Consider the following 18,024-nt stretch of genomic DNA (forward strand, 5'->3'; position numbering starts at 1 on the left):
GAGTGCCCTGGAAGGGGAGGGGAGCAAGGGGAGGCTAGAGGTGGGGTAGGTGGAGGGGCTGCAAGCGGCAGGGTGGGAGTAGAGGAGAAGGCTGCGACCTGGGAAGCGTCATCACTGAGGTTGGCCGTAGCACTGGAGCCCACCTCCCCCACCCCAGTACCTGGCCAACTCCAGGCCCAGCCTGGCAGCTCTTCCTCCTGGAACTCTTTCCATACACTTCTAGAAGAGCTTGGTTCTCCTTCCTGGCTGTGCTCTGTGACCTGAGCCCACCTCAGGTAGAGCCCGCTGAAACCTAACCCCTAAATCACCCCTGGGTGCCAGTGCCATCCTGAGCCCAGGTCAGACATGGTCCGGCAGGGCTGGGATGGACGCACGAATGATGCTTAGGAAGTCACGTCTGCATGTCTCAGGGAGTCTGTCAACCTGAACGAGTGAAAGTAGCAAGAACTAATTTAGAGTTATTGAAAGAGGAAGGTCAAGTCCTGATCCCACCTGCCTCTGCTGGTCTCCTCCCTGTGGGTCCTGGGCCCCATGCTGTCACCCTATCCTGGCAGACTGAAGCTGGGGAAAGTGTGCAAGTGACACGTGGTCAGCAAGCACAGCGCCATCCAACACTAAGATGTGGGGCCAGGAAGGTGGACCCAGCTATCAGAGGGGAGGGGGGAATGCTAATTTTTCTTTTTCTTTTTTTCTTTTTTGTTGGGGGTGGGGGTACGGAGTCTCACTCTGTGGCCCAGGCTGGAGTGCAGTGGCATGATCGCAGCTCACTGCAGCCTCTGCCTCCTGGGTTCAAGCAATTCTCCAGCCTCAGCCTCCTGAGTAGCTGGGATTACTCCCAAGTAGCTGGCAGGCGCATGCCACCACACCAGCTAATTTTTGTATTTTTAGTAGAGACAGGGTTTCGCCATGTTGGCCAGGCTCCAGGCTGGTCTCAAACTCCTGACCTCAGGTGATCTGCCCACCTCGGCCTCCCAGAGTGCTGCGATTACAGGTGTGAGCCACTGCACCCGGCCCAATTCTTCTTTTTAAAACGCTCATTTTGTTATTGTATTCTGACAGTGAGATGCACAATGACATCACAGTGTGTGTGCAGCACTGCTTGGAATATGAAGCAAGAATGTGCAATGGAGGACACGGAGGCCAGGGGTGGAGCTGTGGCAGCAAGGGTGGGGCGGGCACTGCTGTAGAGTAGGACATCAAGGTGCAGTGTCGTGAGCATAAGAAGCAAGAGGAGCACCAGGGCAAACAACCACTGGGCTCAGCCGTGCCTCTCACACCTCCTCCCAGGCGTTCTCCAGCACTGGTAGGGTGGGGGGTGATAGACAGTCAGGAATTAAACTTCAAATTATACTCAACTGCAGAATGATAAAGTTATTTCCTTCTTATTTATTTTCCAACTCTTCTGATTATTCACAGGGGAAATAAAAAGTGCTCGTGTAGAGATAATACATTTTCATTATAAAATTTTTAAACATACAGAGAAATAATGAAGTAACAGACACCCTTACTGGCCATGCAGAAATAATCCATGAAATCCCTTTGCTTTGGAGCTGTTTCTCTGTCTGCTAGAAATAAACCACTATAGAGAGAGCTGAGGATCATCCCTTCCCTCCCCTCCCCTCCCCGTGCCCCAGCGGCACAGCTGTTGACGTGTAGTATTGGTTATTGTGTTAGTCAGCTGTAAGGTCTAACTGACTTTTCTACACTTTGATATATGTGTATATTTCCATTAATGATGTATATTATAGCTTCAGTGTCTTTCACTTTACATAAATTATGATAATACTGTGTATATCGTGTTGCAGCTTGCTTTTATCTTGCATCATGTTTTTGATGTTTAGATGCGTTGGCAGACGGAGTTTCATACTGTCTGGCTTTGCTGCTTTGGAGTATTCGATGATAGACAATGCCGCATCTCACTCTCCTGTTCCCCTTCCAGGGCAGAGTCGGTTTTTTTCCACTTCTTTAGAATGGCCAACAGTGCCACAGTGAATGTCTTGGTACTTATGCCCTTGCGAACATAGGAACAGGTTTCTCTAGAGCAGTTACTTACAAATGTCTCTACCTAGAGCAGATACTTACAAATGTCTCTACCACAAAGTATGCAGATATCTAAGTAGGATTAACAAAGTGTTCTCCACATAGTAGGCTGATTCAGATTCCAACAAACGGAGTACACAATTTCCTGTTTCTGCCCGTCTCGCCAGCTTCCCTATGGTTCCCTCTCTGAAAATCTTGTTTTACCCTTACTCCTGAATGATAGTTTAAAATGAAATGTATCATCAGGGCTGGGCACAGTGGCTCAAGCCTGTAATCCCAACAATTTGGGAGGCAGAGGTGGGTGGATCACTTGAGGTCAGGAGTTCAAGACCAGCCTGGCCAACATGGTGAAACCCCATCTCTACCAAAAATATAAAAAATTAGCTGGGTGTGGTGGCACGAGCCTGTGTAATCCCAGCTACTCAGGAGGCTGAAGCAGGAGAACCACTTGAACCCAGGAGGCAGAGGTTGCAGTGAGCCAAAATCATGCCACTGCACTCCAACCTGGGCAACAGAGCGAGACTCCGTCTCAAAAAAAAAGGTGACTTCAGACTTTTTAAGTTGTGCAAATCTTATGGGTTTACAGAAGTAAAGGTTTGTTTTTCTTTTTCTTTTTTTAAGGCAGGGAGAATTTTAGCCTGGTTTTTTGTTTTTTTTAATTGTTGCTGTTGTTGTTATTTTGTTTGTTGTTTTTTTTTTTTTTTTTTTTAGACAGTCTCGCTCTGTCATCCAGGCTGGAGTGCAGGGGTAAGATCATAGCTCACTTCAGCCTCCACTCCCAGGCTCAAGTGATTCTCCCACCTAAGCCTCCCAAGTAGCTGGGACTATAAGCACACCCCACCACACTCAGCTAGTTTTTTTGTATTTTTAGTAGATGAAGTCTCACTATGTTGCCCAGGCTGGTCTCAAACTCCTGAACTCAAGTGATCCTCCTGCCTCGGCCTCCCAAAATGCTTGGATTACAGGCATGCACCACAGCTCCCAGCCTACATATATATTTTGTTGTTATTGTTGTTGAGAGAAAGTCTCTCTCTGTCAGCCTCTACCTTGCAGGCTCAAGTGAGCCTCCCACCTCAGCCTCTGGAGTAGCTGGCACTGACTACAGGTGCATACCACCATGCCCAGCTAATTTTTTTTATTATTATTTTTGTAGAGATGGGATTTTGCCACGTTGCTCAGGCTGGCCTCAAATTCCTGGGCTCAAGCAATCTGCCCACCTCGGCCTCCCAAAGTGCTGGGATTACAGCATGAGCCACCACACCCAGCCTATATTTTATTTATTTGAGATGGAGTTTCTTTCTGCCACCCAAGCTGGAGTGCAGTGGTGTGATCTCAACTCACTGCAACCTCCACCTCCCAAGTTCAAGAGATTCTCCTGCCTCAGCCTCCCAGGTAGCTGGGATTACAGGCGCCCACCACTACACCCGGCTAATTTTTGTATTTTTAGTAGAGATGGGATTTCCCCCATGTTGGCCAGGCTGGTCTTGAACTCCTGACCTCAAGTGATCCGCCCGCTTCAGCCTCCCAAAGTGCTGAGATTACAGGTGTGAGCCACTGTGCCTGGATTCAAAGTATCCTTTTTAAACAAATAACTTCATTTTTAAAATGAACAAAAGACCTGAATAGACATTTCCCAAAAGAAGGCATACAAACGGTCAGCAGGTATATGAAAAAATGTTCAATATCACTAATCATCAAGGAAATGCAAATCAAACCATGATGAGATACCATCTCACCCAAGTTAGAACGGCTATTATCAAAAAGACAAAAAATAACAGACGTTGGCAAGGATTCGGAGAAAGGGGAACACTCATACACTGTTAGTGGGAATATAAACTAGGACAGCCACTATGAACAACAGTATGGAGGCGCTTCAAAAAACTAAAAGTAGAACTACCATATGATCTAGCAATCCCACTGCTGGATATATCCAAAAGACAGGAAATCAGTAAACCTAAGAACTATCTGCACTCCCATGTTTATTACAGCACTGTTCATATTAGTCAAGAAGTGAAATCAACCTAAGAATCCACCAATGAATGAATGGATAAGGAAAATGTGGTATATATACACAAAGAAACATTATTTGGCCATAAAACAGAATAATATCCTTTCATTTGTAGCAACATGGATGGAGCTGGAGTTCATTATGTTGAGTGAAATAAACAGGTACAAAAATACAAATATCACATGTTCTCACTCAAATGTGGGAGCTAAAAAAGTGGATCTTACGGAGGCATGGAGTAGAATGATGCTTACCAGGGCCTGAGAAGGGTAGAAGGGAGAAGAGATAATGAAAAGTTGGTTAGTGAATACAAATATACAGTTAAAAGAAATAAGTTCTAGTGTTTGATAGTACAGTAGGGTGACTATAGTTAACAATAATTGATTATATATTCCAAAATAGCTAGAAGAGAAGAATTGGAATGTTTCCAACACAAAGAAAAATGTTTGAGGTGATATATAATCCAATTACCTGAATTTGATCATTACACATTGTATACATGTATCAAACTATTGGGTGTACCCTCAAAATATATACAACCATCATATATCAATAAAACAAAGTGTCCTTTTTAAAATACATTAAATTTAATCTGAAAAATGGCAGTGGTGGTGAAAACATAACTTTGTGCTTTCTGAATCCCCACATAATTATAGTCAGAGCAACAAGACATTAAAACCAAAACCCGTGGACAACATTGCAACAAAACTAAGTGATAGGTTATCCTGTCACCACAAAATGCAAGTGGGTGGACAACAACCATGACACCTGCACAGCATCAGCATGCGCTGGGGGAAAGCCGAGGGAAGCAACAGGTTACCTGGGCACCTGAGGGCCCTGTTCATCCACAGTGCAGGGGCCGGGTGAGAACCAGCAGTTTGTCTCACTCCAGATCTTACCAGATCTGCGGTAAGATCTGAAGGTCTGTGAATTCTCTCACTGATCTGCGAGGGCTCCCTTCCGGACTGCACCCCACAATGGACAGCAACTGCTGGAAATTGAATCAAAATTAAGCAGGGGCCAGGCATGGTGGCTCATGCCTGTAATCCCAGCAATTTGGGAGGCCAAGGGGGGAGGATTGCTTGAGGCCAGGATTTTGAGACCACTCTTGGCCACATAGTGAGACCCAGTCTCTTTAAACTCGCCCGCAGAGTTCTTTTTTCTTTTTTTTAACAGGATGAGAAAAATAGGAGCTTCAACTCATCTCCAACCAGGGTGAGGCAGGTGAGCAAAGAAAGGTCCTGGCTTGCAGCAAAGAATTTCAGAGCATACTAAACAGTTAAGGGATGCAGAAAATGAGATTTTAATGCAATAATTTTTTAAACAAAATTCAATGCCAAAAAATCCAGGATGAACAAAATATCAACCTTTTAAATAAAGATAGGATATTAATAGTCTTGTACTGAACCATACTGGAGCCTGAGGCCAAAGGAATAATCAGTGATGCTGATCCTGTCTTTATTATAGTGAAACAGTAACACGGTCCATAGCCCTTCTTGAGGATCTACTAAAGCACCAGTCGCAGAGACCAAAATAACTAGAGAAACATCACATTAATGATTGGTGATGATTAACAAATGTATAGTTATTTGTGGAGTGAAGACTAAATGAGGGTTTAAAAAGAGAGATTATGCTATCTAATGGCTTTACCATCTGAGAATGTAGAGTACAAACAAAAATAGGGGGTAGGCTGGGTACAGTGGCTCACGCCTGTAATCCCAGCACTTTGGGAGGCCAAGGAGGGCAGAACACCTGAGTTCAGGGGTTTGAGACCAGCCTAGCCAACATGGTGAAACCCTGTCTCTACTAAAAATACAAAAATTAGCCAGGCATGGTGGCATGTGCCTGTAATCCCAGCTACTCGGGAGACTGAGGCAGGAGAATCGCTTGAACCCAGGAGGCAGAGGTTGCAGTGAGCCAAGATTGTGCCACTGCACTCCAGCCTGGGCAACAGAGCAAGACTCTGTCTCAAAAAAAAAAAAAAAAAAATGGGGGGGATAAAAATAACATATGCAGAAAGAAAAAGTTTTAGGTGTTTTCAGAAATTATAGCTAGTTATGGTATTGATATTGTTATTCTGAACCTGTAAGTATATAAATTGAAATAAAACAAATGACTAATTGGATTCTAATTCAGTTATTCCTGGTGTCCTTAAGAACCAGGATTCCCAGTGTGGAAGAAAAGAAATACAGGTGTAATCAAGAAGTCCTCCACTTAACGTAGTTACATCAGTATAAATTCCCAGTGTATTTTATCATATATGTAATTTACAGCTCCTCCATTGAAAAGACCTAGAAACAAAGATCAACCAAGAAGTGAAGAGGATTCCTAGCACCCCAAACTGGTAAGATGTCTTGTCATTCCAGATAACAAGGAAGTGTTCAAAGGCTACTAGGGTCACATCTAAAGGACCCAAGGATTAACCTGAAGGGCTCCAGCTGCCCAAAGAGGGGACAATTTGTATGTTACTACTGACAGTAACTGCAACGTATTGAAATCCATCTAGCACATTTAAATCCTTGGCATCGTGATGGTATATTTTTTTAACTCTTCATTTTGGGAGGATGACAGGGTAGCAATTCGTCATCTTGAAAACGGATAAATAAATGCAAAGAAACAAGCATTTACCCGCCTTTCCTCTGTGAACGGTTCCACTGGGTAACCAAATAGCAGATGAGGAGAAGAGTCTCTTTATAAAATCAACCCAGATGATAAATGAAAAATAAATTATATAATTAGTATATCACCATTTTCATCCCCCAGTGAATTAATGAATGTAAGCATTGGACATCGTCTCTCCTCAGATCTCAAAAAATAGAGACAACCAGACATTATGTGCCTCCTGACAAAACAGCACTCCACCACCTGGAGTCTCACCAAAAATCTTGAACCTGAGTCTGATCAAGCCTTTGGATCCAGCTGTCAATTTGCAGGAAATGCAGAAAACAGGGAGATGTGTTGAACTGCACCAGGAGAATGCAATCAGTGAAATCCAGACTAGAAATCTCTTCAGATTCTTCCAAGGATACATTGCAAGGAAAAGAAAGTGATGGAGAAAGAAACTACAAATTAAAGAGACTTAAAATATATTAACAAAATGAGCAAGTCTAATTTATAGCCTCTAGAGAGGCGAACTTGGGTGACAACAATTTTTTAAAAACTCGGGTAAGTAATTACTATGAAAGGCAGGAGAGTGGCTACTTTGGGAAGGAGGGAGTCGAGTGAAATCGGGAAGGAGCACGGGTAAGGTATTCTGGGGGAAAGTACTGTTTCTTGGCTTGGGTAGTGGTTACAAAGGTGTTCATTTGATAATAATTCACAAATCTTCACATTTGTGTGGCTTTCTGTGTATTGGCGATTGAATTCAAACTCAGAACTGCTAAGGCCAGCGCCCAAGGCAGCCGACCGCAGAGGCGGGTGGGCAGAGTGGATGAAAAGCAGGCGCTCGGGCCTCCAGGCCTGGCGGGGACAGGAATGTGTTCCGGGCCCCTTGCAGGAGACGCACTGCAGGGGGCGCTGCGGGCACACTGAGACCTCGGAGAGGATCACAGCTCCTGGACCTAGCCCGCGACGCGCCCAGAAGCCTCTATCGCATTCAACTCAGAGCACGACCGCTCGGGAGGAGCGGGCCCATCCAGCCCAGGGGAGGGACCAGGCCGACTTCCGCGCAATGAGCCCTAGGCGGCCGCGCAGCGGTGCAGTGGGCGCGGAGCTGGCAATCAGCGACGACCCGCGGCTGCGGCCCTGCGGGAGCTGCACCATGCGGTCCGGGGCGAGTCGGCTGACACGCGCGCTCACGGCGAGTGGAGCCGGGAATCCAGACCCCAGACGCACGGCCGAGGACCGGCAGAACCCGCTGGATTGGCAGCTCAGGAGCGGGAGGGCGGAGGCGGCGGGCGGGGCCGCTGGAGGCCTGCAATCCCAGCGCATCCCGGGGAAGACCGCCCGCCGGTGTCCGTGTGGCCCCGCGCTCCTGGGGTGGGGCCCGCCTCGTCACCCCGCCCCGTCTGTCTCCTGGTCTCGGCTCGCCGCCGCCTCCGATGAACCTTCTCGGCCTTCCGCCGAGCTCGCCTGAGCGCGCTCCTAACCTGGCTCTGGGCTCCGCCGCTGGTCGCACGGGGATTGTGTCGGCCTCGCCCCCTCCCGCTCCTCCCACACCCTCACCTTCCAGGCGGGGAGGAAGGGCTGCAGCCCCACGGCCGCCGGAACGCCCTCCCGACCCAGGGAGAATCAAGGCCAGGGCTCTCCACCGCCCCTTCCATATCCGGGTCCCCGAGGCGGGCTAGGGTCTGTGGTTTGGGGACAGAAGAGGTCGCGATTGGAGCTGGTGGGCTCCCCTAGGGGAGAGCAGGGAGTTGGAGACGCAGCTCGGCCGAGCTTTCCTTCGCCCACCCACTTTTCGGGTTGGAAGACTGAGGCAGCGGGCATGACTGGGGCCCCGCAGTGCCGGCGCCTCTGGAGGCAGAGAGAGCGCCTGGAAGGCGGCGCCGACGCCGCGGTGCGTCACTCGCCCACCTACTTACCAAAGCAGGTGACACTCGCAAACCCTGGCCCCGCGCCGCCCGCCCCAGGGTGCGGGGGAGAATAAAAAGGGCAGAAGACAGGAGTGGGGCCTAAGGGCGCGCGTGTCCCCCCGACCCCTAGCCTCCTCTCCAGGTGAGCGGCGCGCCCCACCCGGGCCTCCGAGGCCACCGCTGGGTAAAGGGAGCGAAGCCGAGGGGGGCGCCCGTGCTGGCTGGGGTCCGAGACCCGGTTTCCTCCGTGACCCAGCAAGTGTCGAGACGCGCCCAGGGACAGGAGCTGGACTTGGAGTCCACTAGGGGCAATCTCCCGCCCTTCCCGCTGCTCCGTGCCAGGCCCGAGCTTGTCTCGAGCCAGAAGGGCCAGCCTCGGAGGAGGTTACAGCGTCCGGGCGGCCGGACGGGAGCTGACAGCACACCCGTGGCCCTGAGCGGCGACGCGCCCTAGAAAGCCCGTGGGCCCGACCCCGCGGGGGGCCCTCCCCACCCCGCCCGGACGTCCTCCTCACGCCGATCCTTTCCCTCTTTCTTCCCCTTGGACCTCTGTCCTCAACTTTCTTCTGTCCCTTTCCTCGAAGGACACCTCTCCCAGGACTGGGGCCGCGCTCCAGGGCTCCCCCTCCCCCGCCACCCGCGCAGCCCGGCATATGCCTCGACCCAGCACCCGGGCCTCAGAGGAGCTGGGGTGAGGCCTGGGACGTGACAGACTAGGTCCCTGCCCTCTGGGGCTTCCATTCCGTGGGGGAGCAGCAGAAACTGGCGCGTCTACCTTTGCCAGTAGCTAGGAGTGCCATGAGAACAAGGGAAGGGGTGGGAGGGCGTCGCCTACGGAGACGAAGGAAGGCCTCCCGCGCTCATCCGCCTCCGCCTTCGGAGCACTGTGCTTGGTGTCATAACTTTTTACTGAAAAAAAAATTTCAAAGAGAAAATATTCTAAAATAAACAGCAATAAATCAGATGAAGGGGGTCAGCAATACATAAAACGTGGTACAATTTATGGTAGAAAGAGGTAAAATTTTATTTCTATTATCCAATGCCAAAGGACACCCCAAATGGTTCTGAGGATACCTTGGGCAGGTGCCAGATTTGGGGAGGCGAGGGGGAGGGAATCAATGGGACTCCAGTTCAATGACTTCGGTTCTTTACTTAAAAAAAAAAAAGTACTTGATGCGTTGTTGGTGAAACTGAATATATACAAATATATAGATATCTGGTAAGGAGAGCTGAAGACACAAGGAAAAGGCGTTGTCCTGGAGGGGATCCCTGAGAAATGGGGGCGCCTGCCCTGCCCAGAACCCTTTTAAGGAAAGCATATGGGCAAAGCTTCCACAGACTGGGAGGAACAGCAATCAGCAGAGAGCTCAGGTGCTGGCAGGGGCTTCTAAAGAAAGGAGGGAGGGCGGTGGCAGGAGGAGGCGTTCGGTGCAGCAGGAACAGCCTAGGCAGAGGGCACGGGCGGTGGGAATGGCAGCACCATGGCAGGAAATCCGAGGACTAGTCACCACCGCTGAGATGTGTTCTGATGTCCCTGAGTCTCCATCCCTAAGAGACCTGAGAAAGTCGTCCTTCCGTGCAGCCTGGGAGGACTTCATAGAGCGAAGAGCAGAGGCAAAGGCTGGTGCGGAGAGTGACACAGCAGGGTCCAAAGCAGGACAGTTTGCTTGCAGGCTGGGTTGCCTGTAGCCAAAAAGAGACATAACTCTGAGAGGCAGTGAGACTGAATCACGTGGGTCCTTGAATGCCAGGATGAGATGGTCAGACTTCCAAGGGGCGCTGGCAGCTGAGGCGGGGTGATCCAAAGGGCAGGGGCGGTTTTGGAGCTGGGCTGCAGAAAGCCACATTTGTGTCTGGAGAAGGTGATTTTCCTAAAGGCAAGCCAGAGACTGATTTGCCAAGAGCAGGAGACGCCTCGTGCTGCACGATAAGGACCTGAATGTGGTGATGGGGATGGAAAAGCAGAGGTCAATGGGACAGGTGGTATGCAAGCCAGTGCCAGGGGATATGGGTGTGGCTCCTTTAATCACGTGGGGAAGCCCACTCAGTCTGCCTGGAGGAAGGGGGAGTTTCCTTAAGGGCAGAGATGAAGCCCAGCCAGGTCTTACAGAAACGAGGCTGAGAGCTGGGAATCATTAAGATTGGAGAAAGCTCCTCTTTCCATGTATGTGTGTCTCTCCTTTCTGCGACTCTACCCTGTCCTCTGTGGCTCCGGTTTCTGTTCCCTGTGACTTCATCCTGCACTGGTCTTCCGTTGCCCTGGAGCCAATTCTGACCTCTCATCTCTGTGACCTGGAAGCTCCTGTGTTCCACACTTCTGCTCACAGTTAAGGATCTTGACATTAAAATAACTGGCCGGCACTGGGCCATGAATACACTGGATCATGTGTCCACTCTTGGGTGAGGTCACCCAAGGCTGCCCCTTCCTGAGCTATGGCAAAGCAGATTAGTTCAGAAATTGACTGACAGGTTTGGTAGAGATGCCAAAGAGAAACAATCAAAGACAACAGTAGGGACAACTCATTCTTACTGGAAAACACTGGTGCACTTCACTGAAAGAAAAGCATGAACTTGGGCATTTGGTAAACTTCAACACCAGGTGTTGTTGTTGTTGTTGTTGTTGTTGTTGTTGTTGTTGTTGTTGTTGTTGCTGTTGAGACGGAGTCTGGCTGTGTCACCCAGGCTGGAGTGCAGTGGCTCAATCTTGGCTCACTGCAACCTCCATCTCCTGGATTCAAGCAATTCTCCTACCTCAGCCTCTCGAGTAGCTAGGACTACAGGCACCCGCCACCACACCCAGCTGATTTTTGTATTTTTAGTAGAGACGGGGTTTCACCATGTTGGCTAGGCTGGTCTCAAACTCCTGACCTCAGGTGATTCACCCACCTTGGCCTCTCAAAGTGCTGGGATTACAGGCATGAGCCACCACGCCTGGACAAGAGTTTTTAAAAAATCAACATCCCGTGGCCAGGTGTGGTAACTCATGCCTGTAATCTCAGCACTTTGGGAGGCCGAGACAGGTGGATCACCTGAGGCCAGGAGTTCAAGACCAGCCTGGCCAACATAGTGAAACCCCATCTCTAGCAAAAATACAAAAATTAGCTGGGAGTGGTGGCTGGCGCTTATAGCCCCAGCTACTTGGGAAGCTGAGGCAGGAGAATTGCTTGAACCTGGGAGGCGAAGGTTGCAGTGACTAACATAGCACCACTGTACTCCAGCCTGGGCAAAAAAAAAAAAAAATCACACATTATTCTCAATGAGAAATGTCAAAATTATTTTTAAACCAGAAGTATATATAGGATGACCTCTATCACTATCTCTATTCAGTATTATACTGGCAATCCTAGCCAGCACAGTAAGAGAAGAAAAAGAAAATGGACGTATAAAAAAGTGGAAAGCCAGAAATAAAACTCATTATGCAGGTGATATTCATATCTAATAGAAAACCAAATAAATCTGTAGATAATTTATTATACTAAGAGCTTATATAAAAATCAATTGCATTTTTATACAACAGCAGTTAGAAGGCATAATCTTTTAAATGTTATGTATAATTTTTAAAATAATACTATTTCCACTAGTAACAAAAAAATACAAGGTATCTAGGAAAAAGTCTTACAAAAGATGTGTAAGAAAAAAATTTAAAGACTTTATTATAATATATGAAGGACATAAATAAATACAAGAGTATAATGTGTTTTTAGAAAACTCAATACCAAATGAGGTCAATTTTTCCCAAATTGATTTCTAGAATCTATGTAATTCTAAACAAAAACCCCAATGGCCATATTTGAGGAACTTGATAAGCAGATGCTGAAATTTATCTGGAGGCTGGGCACGGTGGCTCATGCCTGTAATCCCAGCACTTTGGGAGGCTGAGGGGGGCAAATCACTCAAGGTCAGGAGTTCAAGACAAGCCTGGCCAACATGGTGAAACCCCGTCTCTACTAAAAATACAAAAATTAACCAGTCATGGTGGCATATATCCCAGCTACTTGGGAGGGAGGCTGAGGCAGGAGAATTGCTTGAACCTGGGAGGCAAAGGTTGCAGTGAGCCAAGATTGTGCCACTGCACTCCAGCCTGGGAAACACAGCAAAACTCCATCTCAAAAAAAAAAAAAAGAAAGAAATTTATCTAGAAAAGCAAAGGCCCAAGAAGAGTCAAGTAGCCATGACACAGGTAGGAAGAGGAGGATAAAGGACCTGATTTACCAGGTCAATATTTATAATGAAGCTACTATAACTAAGAGTGTGGTGTTGGCAGAAGGATACATAATAGACTAATGAAACAGGATAGAGAACCTAGAAGCAGCCTCAGAAAAATATGAAAACTTGACATCCAACAAAGGTGATTTTGAATACTTTATTAGTTCCCTATTGCTACTGCAACAAATTACCACCAATTTAGTTACTTAAAGCAATACACATTTATTATCAGGCAGTTCTGGGGGCCAGAATTCTAATGTGTCTGCAGGGCTGTGTTCCTTTTGGAGGTTCAAAGGAAGAATTCTTTTTCAGCTTCTAGAGCCAGCCTACATTCCTTGGCTTGTGACCCCTTCCTCCATTTTTAACGTGCATCACTTCAACCCCTGAGCTACTTCTGTCTTTACATTTCTCTGATTCTAACTTCTCTGCCTCCCTCCAATGAGGACCTTCTGATTATACTGGGATCACTACGTAATCCAAGATAATCTCCCCTTCTCAAGATCCTTAACTTAATCATACCTGCAGATTCCTTTTCTCCTTAAAAAGTAACACATTCACAGTTACAGAGATTAGTATGTGGACATCTATGGAGAGCCATTGTTCAGCCTACCACAAAGACCAACAGGGAAAGGACAGAAATGGTGCTGGGACAATTGGTTGTTCATATGGAAAAAACACAAAATTTATATTTTTAATACAAAAAATAATTTCAAAAAGATCACTTAAATGTGAAAATCAAAGTTTAATAGTTTTTGAAACTAATGTAGGAGAATGTTTTAACAACTTCGGTAGAGAAGGATTTATTAAATAATATATTAAAAATTGGAATCATAAAAGATTGGGCCGGGTACGATGGCTCACACCTATAATCCTAGCACTTTGAGAGGCCGAGGCAGGTGGATCACTTGAGCCCTGGAATTCATGATCAGCCTGGGCAACATGGCGAAACCTCATCTGAACAAAAACACAAAAACATTAGCCAGGCATGTTGATGCACACCTGCACACTGGTAGTTCCAACTACTCAGGAGGCTAAGGTGGGAGGATTGCTTGAGCCTGGGAAACAGAGGTTGCAGTAAGCCGAGATCACGGCACTGCACTTTAGCCTGGGGAAAAAAAAAAAAAAAAAAAAAAAAAACCTTCCAGAACATGAAGGCACATTTCATCGTCATTTTAAAACAAAAAAAGAATAAGAAGAAAAGAAAAGATTAATAAATGCAACTGCATTAAAATTTAGAAGCTCTATTTCATAAAAGACACTGTACAGAAAGTGTAAAGTCAAGCCACAAACTGGAAGAATATATTCACAACATTATAATCAACAAGGAAATCATATTCAGAATACGTAAGTATAAAAATCAATAAGAGGCTGGGCATGGTGGCTCATGCCTGTAACCCCAGGACTTTGGGAAGCCGAGGCAGGCAGATCACTTGAGGTCAGGAGTTCAAGACCAGCCTGGCCAACATGGAGAAACCCCGTCTCTACTAAAAATACAAAAATTAGCCGGGCATGGTGTCAAGTGCCTGTAGCCCCAGCTACCCAGAAGGCTGAGACACGAGAATCTCTTGAACCCGGGAGACAGAAGTTGCAGTAAGCCAAGATCATACTATTGCATTCCAGCCTGGGCAACAGAGTGAGACTCTGTCTAAAAAAAAAAAAAAAAAAATCAATAAGAAAAAGATAAACAACTCAATAGAAAAATGGACAAAAGACCAGTGGTCTGTAAATATGCTCAACCTCATCAGTAATCAGGAAAATGGAAATAAAGATGACACTTGAGATGCTAATTTATGTCTACCAAATTGGCAAAAGATTTCAAATCTGATTGTTCAAAGTGTTGGTGGAAAGATAGAGCAGTAGGGACGCCTTTAGCTACACATAGGAGTATAAATTGGCACAGTCACTTTGGAAAACAAGTTGACAGTATTTTAAACTGAATATGCACACATCCTATAGCCAGATATTTCACTCTTAGGTATCTATCTAGAGAAACTCTTGTACATATGCATGAGGAGATATTTACAAAATAGATCATAACAGAATTCTTTGAAATTAAAAATCTTCGGAGGGCCAGGCACAGTGGCTCACACCTGTAATCCCAGCACTTTGGGAGGCCGAGGTGGGCGGATCACTTGAGGTCAGGAGTTTGAGACCAGCCTGGCCAATATGATAAAACCCCATCTCTACTAAAAACGCAAAAATTAGCCAGGCATGGTGGTGCACGCCTGTAGTCCCAGCTACTCGGAAGGCTGAGGCATAAGAATCGCTTGAACCTGGGATGCGGAGGTGGCAGTAAGGGGAGATCATACAACTGCACCCCAGCCTGGGCAACAGAGTAAGACTCTGTCTCAAAAAATAATAATAATAATTAAAAAAAAATTCTGAGAACATTCCATATTTCCATGGATGGTCTACTGCATAGATAAACTGTAGAAATTTCATGTAATGAAATATTATCCAGCTGTGGAGATGGATGACCTACAGCTACATGTTGCAATAAAGATAAATCTCAGAAACATAAAAGTGAGTGAGGAAGAAAAAGAAATCCTTAAGAAGATAGCACATTATAAGGTACTATTTTTATGCATCTCAAAAACAGGCAAAACCGAGCAACATGTTGTTTACAGATCATGTTAGTCCATTTTGTGCTGCTGTAACAGAATATCTGAGGCTGGATTATTTATAAAGAACAAGAACTTATTTCTCACAGTTTTAGAGGCTGGGAAATCCAAGATCAAGGCACCAGCTGGTTTGGTCTCTGGCTCCAAGATGGCACCTTGCTGTGTCTTCCAGAGAGGAGGGACGCTGCATCCTCACATGGCAGAAGGTGGAAAAGGACAAACCCACTCCTGCTAGCCCTTTTTTCTTTTTCTTTTTTTTTTTTTTTTTGAGATGGAGTCTTCCTGTGTCACCCAGGCTGGCATGCAGTGGTGCAATCTTGGCTCACTGCAACATCCACCTCCCAGGTTCAAGTGATTCTCTTGTCTCAGCCTCCCAAGTAGCTGGGACTACAGGCGCACACCACCACGCCCAGCTAATTTTTGTATTTTTATTAGAGACAGGGTTTCACCATAATGGTCAGGCTGGTATGGAACTCCTGACCTCAGGTGATCCACCCCCCTCAGTCTCCCAAAGTGCTGGGATTACAGTCATAAGCCACAGAACCTGGCATGCTAGCCCTTTTTATAGCAGCATTAATCCAATCGTGAGGTCAGAGGCCGAATGACCTAAACACCTCCCATTAGGCCCCACCTCACATATTTTGGGAGACACATTTAGACTATTGCAGAGATATAGTCATGTTAGCTAACACTATTTTTAAAAGCATGAAAATGATAAACACAAAATTTAAGATAGTCGTTACCTCTGAAGAGTAGAGAGGGAGGCAGGGGTTGGCATAAGGGAGAGGCATGCTGCTCCAAATGGTCACATTCAAGAGCTGAAGTTTGGGGCAGGCTTGCCATGTTCACTATATTATCATTATAACTTACATATGTTATATGTTATATGTTATATGTAAGTTATAATGTTTTTTGTTTGTTTTTTTGAGGCAGAGTCTCACTCACTCTTGTCACCCAGGCTGGAGTGCAGTGGTGTGATCTCAGCTCGGCTCACTGCAGCCTCTGTCTCCCAGGTTCCAGCAAGTCTCTTGCCTCAGTCTCCCAGGTAGCTGGGATTACAGACACATGCCACTACACCTGGCTAATTTTCGTATTTTTAGTAGAGACGGGTTTCACCATGTTGGCCAGGCTGGTCTTGAACTCCTGACCTCAGGTGATCCACCCACCTCAGCCTCCCAAAGTGCTAAGATTACAGGTGTGAGCCACCGCGCCCGGCCTATTTTTTTTTTAAAGGTAAATCTTGATTCGTTAAAATTAAGTACTTACATTAAGCAAAAAACATCATTATTAGGCAAGCCAGTGACTGGGAGAACATGTTGTCAACACACATATCTGACAAAATATTCATATGCAAAATATATTTTAAAACACCTATATAGCAATTAAAAAACAACTCAATTAGAAAATAGGCAAATGGCTTGAACAAACACTTCATAAAGAAGATATCCAAATGACCAATAAGTGCATGAAAAAGTGTTCAACCTCATCACTCATGGGAGAAATATACATGAAAACCACAGTGAGATGCCACCACATACCAGACAGGACGGCTGAAATGTAAAAGTCTGACAATATTAAGTGCTAGCAAGGCTATGGAGCAGGTGGAAATTATCATTAATTGTCAGAGGGAGAGTAATCCATGTTTCTATTTCAGAAAACAGTTGGACAATATCCACTGAAGTTAAACATATGCCCAACTCCATGACCCAGAATTTCACTCCTATTTACCCAAAAGAAATTAGTGCATATAGCTATAAAAGACATGCATGCAACTGTTCATGAAAGCTTTATTCATATAGCCCCATACTAGAAACAATCTAGAACATATATCTATAAAAGACATACACGAAACTCTTCATGATAGCTTTATTCAGAATAGCCCCAAATTGGAAAGAAACTAAATGTTTACCAACAAGGTAAATAAATTGTGGTATATTTATTATACAATTAAAAAGAAGAAACTACTGATACAGTGACATGCATGAATCTCCAACATTATGTAGATCAAAAGAAGTCAGACACATACATGCTGTATGGTTCTATATATATGATGTTCTAGAGCAGGTGAATTAATCGATGATGGTAGAAGTTGTAATAGTGGTTGCCTTTTAGTGGGGAAAGGTCTTGCCTGAGAAGAAACAAGAGGGAAACTTCTGGGATGATGGAAAATGTTCTAGATATTGATCTGAGTGGTGGTTACATTGTGTATATATATGAAAATTTTTATTGAGTTGTACATTTAAGATTTGCATATTCTACTATATAGTGTTTTGTTTTTTTTTTAAGTCCACTAGTTCTCTCTTTCAAGCCAATTTCCCCTCCCCAGCATTCCCTGTATAAGAATTTTGGACTTCTTGACATTTGGCCTAAGGAAAGCCACTTGAATCACAGTGAACAAATATAGCAAAGACACTATTATTAGGAGCATAAAATGACTCACAGGGCCGGGCGCAGTGGCTCACACCTGTAATCCCAGCACTTTGGGAGGCCGAGGAGGGTGGATCACTTGAGGTCAGGAGTTCAAGACCAACCTGGACAATATGGTGAAACCCCGTCTCTACTAAAAATAAAAAATTAGCCAGACGTGGCGGCACATGTCTGTAATCTCAGCTACTCGGGAGGCTAAGGCAGGAGAATT

The 18,024-nt window shown here is 46.0% G+C and overlaps 1 long non-coding RNA gene across 1 annotated transcript, besides 11 other annotated features; it reads right to left on the minus strand.

Annotated features, from left to right (window-relative positions):
* Positions 7,352 to 8,345: an enhancer, noted in NCBI's record as "H3K27ac-H3K4me1 hESC enhancer chr10:88159531-88160524 (GRCh37/hg19 assembly coordinates)". NCBI's record gives its function as "activates a minimal SCP1, AML or CMV promoter by ChIP-STARR-seq in naive H9 embryonic stem cells {active_cell/tissue: H9 hESC(naive)}" and the evidence as "EXISTENCE:reporter gene assay evidence [ECO:0000049][PMID:30033119]".
* Positions 7,409 to 7,458: an enhancer, noted in NCBI's record as "active region_3686". NCBI's record gives its function as "activates an Ori minimal core promoter by ATAC-STARR-seq in GM12878 lymphoblastoid cells {active_cell/tissue: GM12878}" and the evidence as "EXISTENCE:reporter gene assay evidence [ECO:0000049][PMID:35858748]".
* Positions 7,450 to 7,744: an enhancer, noted in NCBI's record as "tiled region #13981; HepG2 Activating DNase unmatched - State 1:Tss, and K562 Activating DNase unmatched - State 4:PromP". NCBI's record gives its function as "activates a minimal TATA promoter and a strong SV40 promoter by Sharpr-MPRA in HepG2 and K562 cells {active_cell/tissue: HepG2 | K562}" and the evidence as "EXISTENCE:reporter gene assay evidence [ECO:0000049][PMID:27701403]".
* Positions 7,549 to 7,598: an enhancer, noted in NCBI's record as "active region_3687". NCBI's record gives its function as "activates an Ori minimal core promoter by ATAC-STARR-seq in GM12878 lymphoblastoid cells {active_cell/tissue: GM12878}" and the evidence as "EXISTENCE:reporter gene assay evidence [ECO:0000049][PMID:35858748]".
* Positions 7,749 to 7,978: a silencer, noted in NCBI's record as "silent region_2564". NCBI's record gives its function as "represses an Ori minimal core promoter by ATAC-STARR-seq in GM12878 lymphoblastoid cells {active_cell/tissue: GM12878}" and the evidence as "EXISTENCE:reporter gene assay evidence [ECO:0000049][PMID:35858748]".
* Positions 7,989 to 8,038: a silencer, noted in NCBI's record as "silent region_2565". NCBI's record gives its function as "represses an Ori minimal core promoter by ATAC-STARR-seq in GM12878 lymphoblastoid cells {active_cell/tissue: GM12878}" and the evidence as "EXISTENCE:reporter gene assay evidence [ECO:0000049][PMID:35858748]".
* Positions 8,346 to 9,339: an enhancer, noted in NCBI's record as "H3K27ac-H3K4me1 hESC enhancer chr10:88160525-88161518 (GRCh37/hg19 assembly coordinates)". NCBI's record gives its function as "activates a minimal SCP1, AML or CMV promoter by ChIP-STARR-seq in naive H9 embryonic stem cells {active_cell/tissue: H9 hESC(naive)}" and the evidence as "EXISTENCE:reporter gene assay evidence [ECO:0000049][PMID:30033119]".
* Positions 8,729 to 8,778: a silencer, noted in NCBI's record as "silent region_2566". NCBI's record gives its function as "represses an Ori minimal core promoter by ATAC-STARR-seq in GM12878 lymphoblastoid cells {active_cell/tissue: GM12878}" and the evidence as "EXISTENCE:reporter gene assay evidence [ECO:0000049][PMID:35858748]".
* Positions 8,849 to 8,898: a silencer, noted in NCBI's record as "silent region_2567". NCBI's record gives its function as "represses an Ori minimal core promoter by ATAC-STARR-seq in GM12878 lymphoblastoid cells {active_cell/tissue: GM12878}" and the evidence as "EXISTENCE:reporter gene assay evidence [ECO:0000049][PMID:35858748]".
* Positions 9,019 to 9,078: a silencer, noted in NCBI's record as "silent region_2568". NCBI's record gives its function as "represses an Ori minimal core promoter by ATAC-STARR-seq in GM12878 lymphoblastoid cells {active_cell/tissue: GM12878}" and the evidence as "EXISTENCE:reporter gene assay evidence [ECO:0000049][PMID:35858748]".
* On the minus strand, positions 9,559 to 10,766 carry LOC124902473 (uncharacterized). Its single transcript, XR_007062221.1, has 2 exons — positions 10,668 to 10,766; positions 9,559 to 10,242 (listed from the first exon to the last, which is right to left on the minus strand). It is a non-coding gene; the product is annotated as an uncharacterized LOC124902473 (long non-coding RNA).
* Positions 10,140 to 10,692: an enhancer, noted in NCBI's record as "H3K4me1 hESC enhancer chr10:88162319-88162871 (GRCh37/hg19 assembly coordinates)". NCBI's record gives its function as "activates a minimal SCP1, AML or CMV promoter by ChIP-STARR-seq in naive H9 embryonic stem cells {active_cell/tissue: H9 hESC(naive)}" and the evidence as "EXISTENCE:reporter gene assay evidence [ECO:0000049][PMID:30033119]".

The sequence above is a fragment of the Homo sapiens genome, chromosome 10 (assembly GCF_000001405.40).
Source record: "Homo sapiens chromosome 10, GRCh38.p14 Primary Assembly".
Classification (NCBI taxonomy): Eukaryota; Metazoa; Chordata; class Mammalia; order Primates; family Hominidae; genus Homo; species Homo sapiens.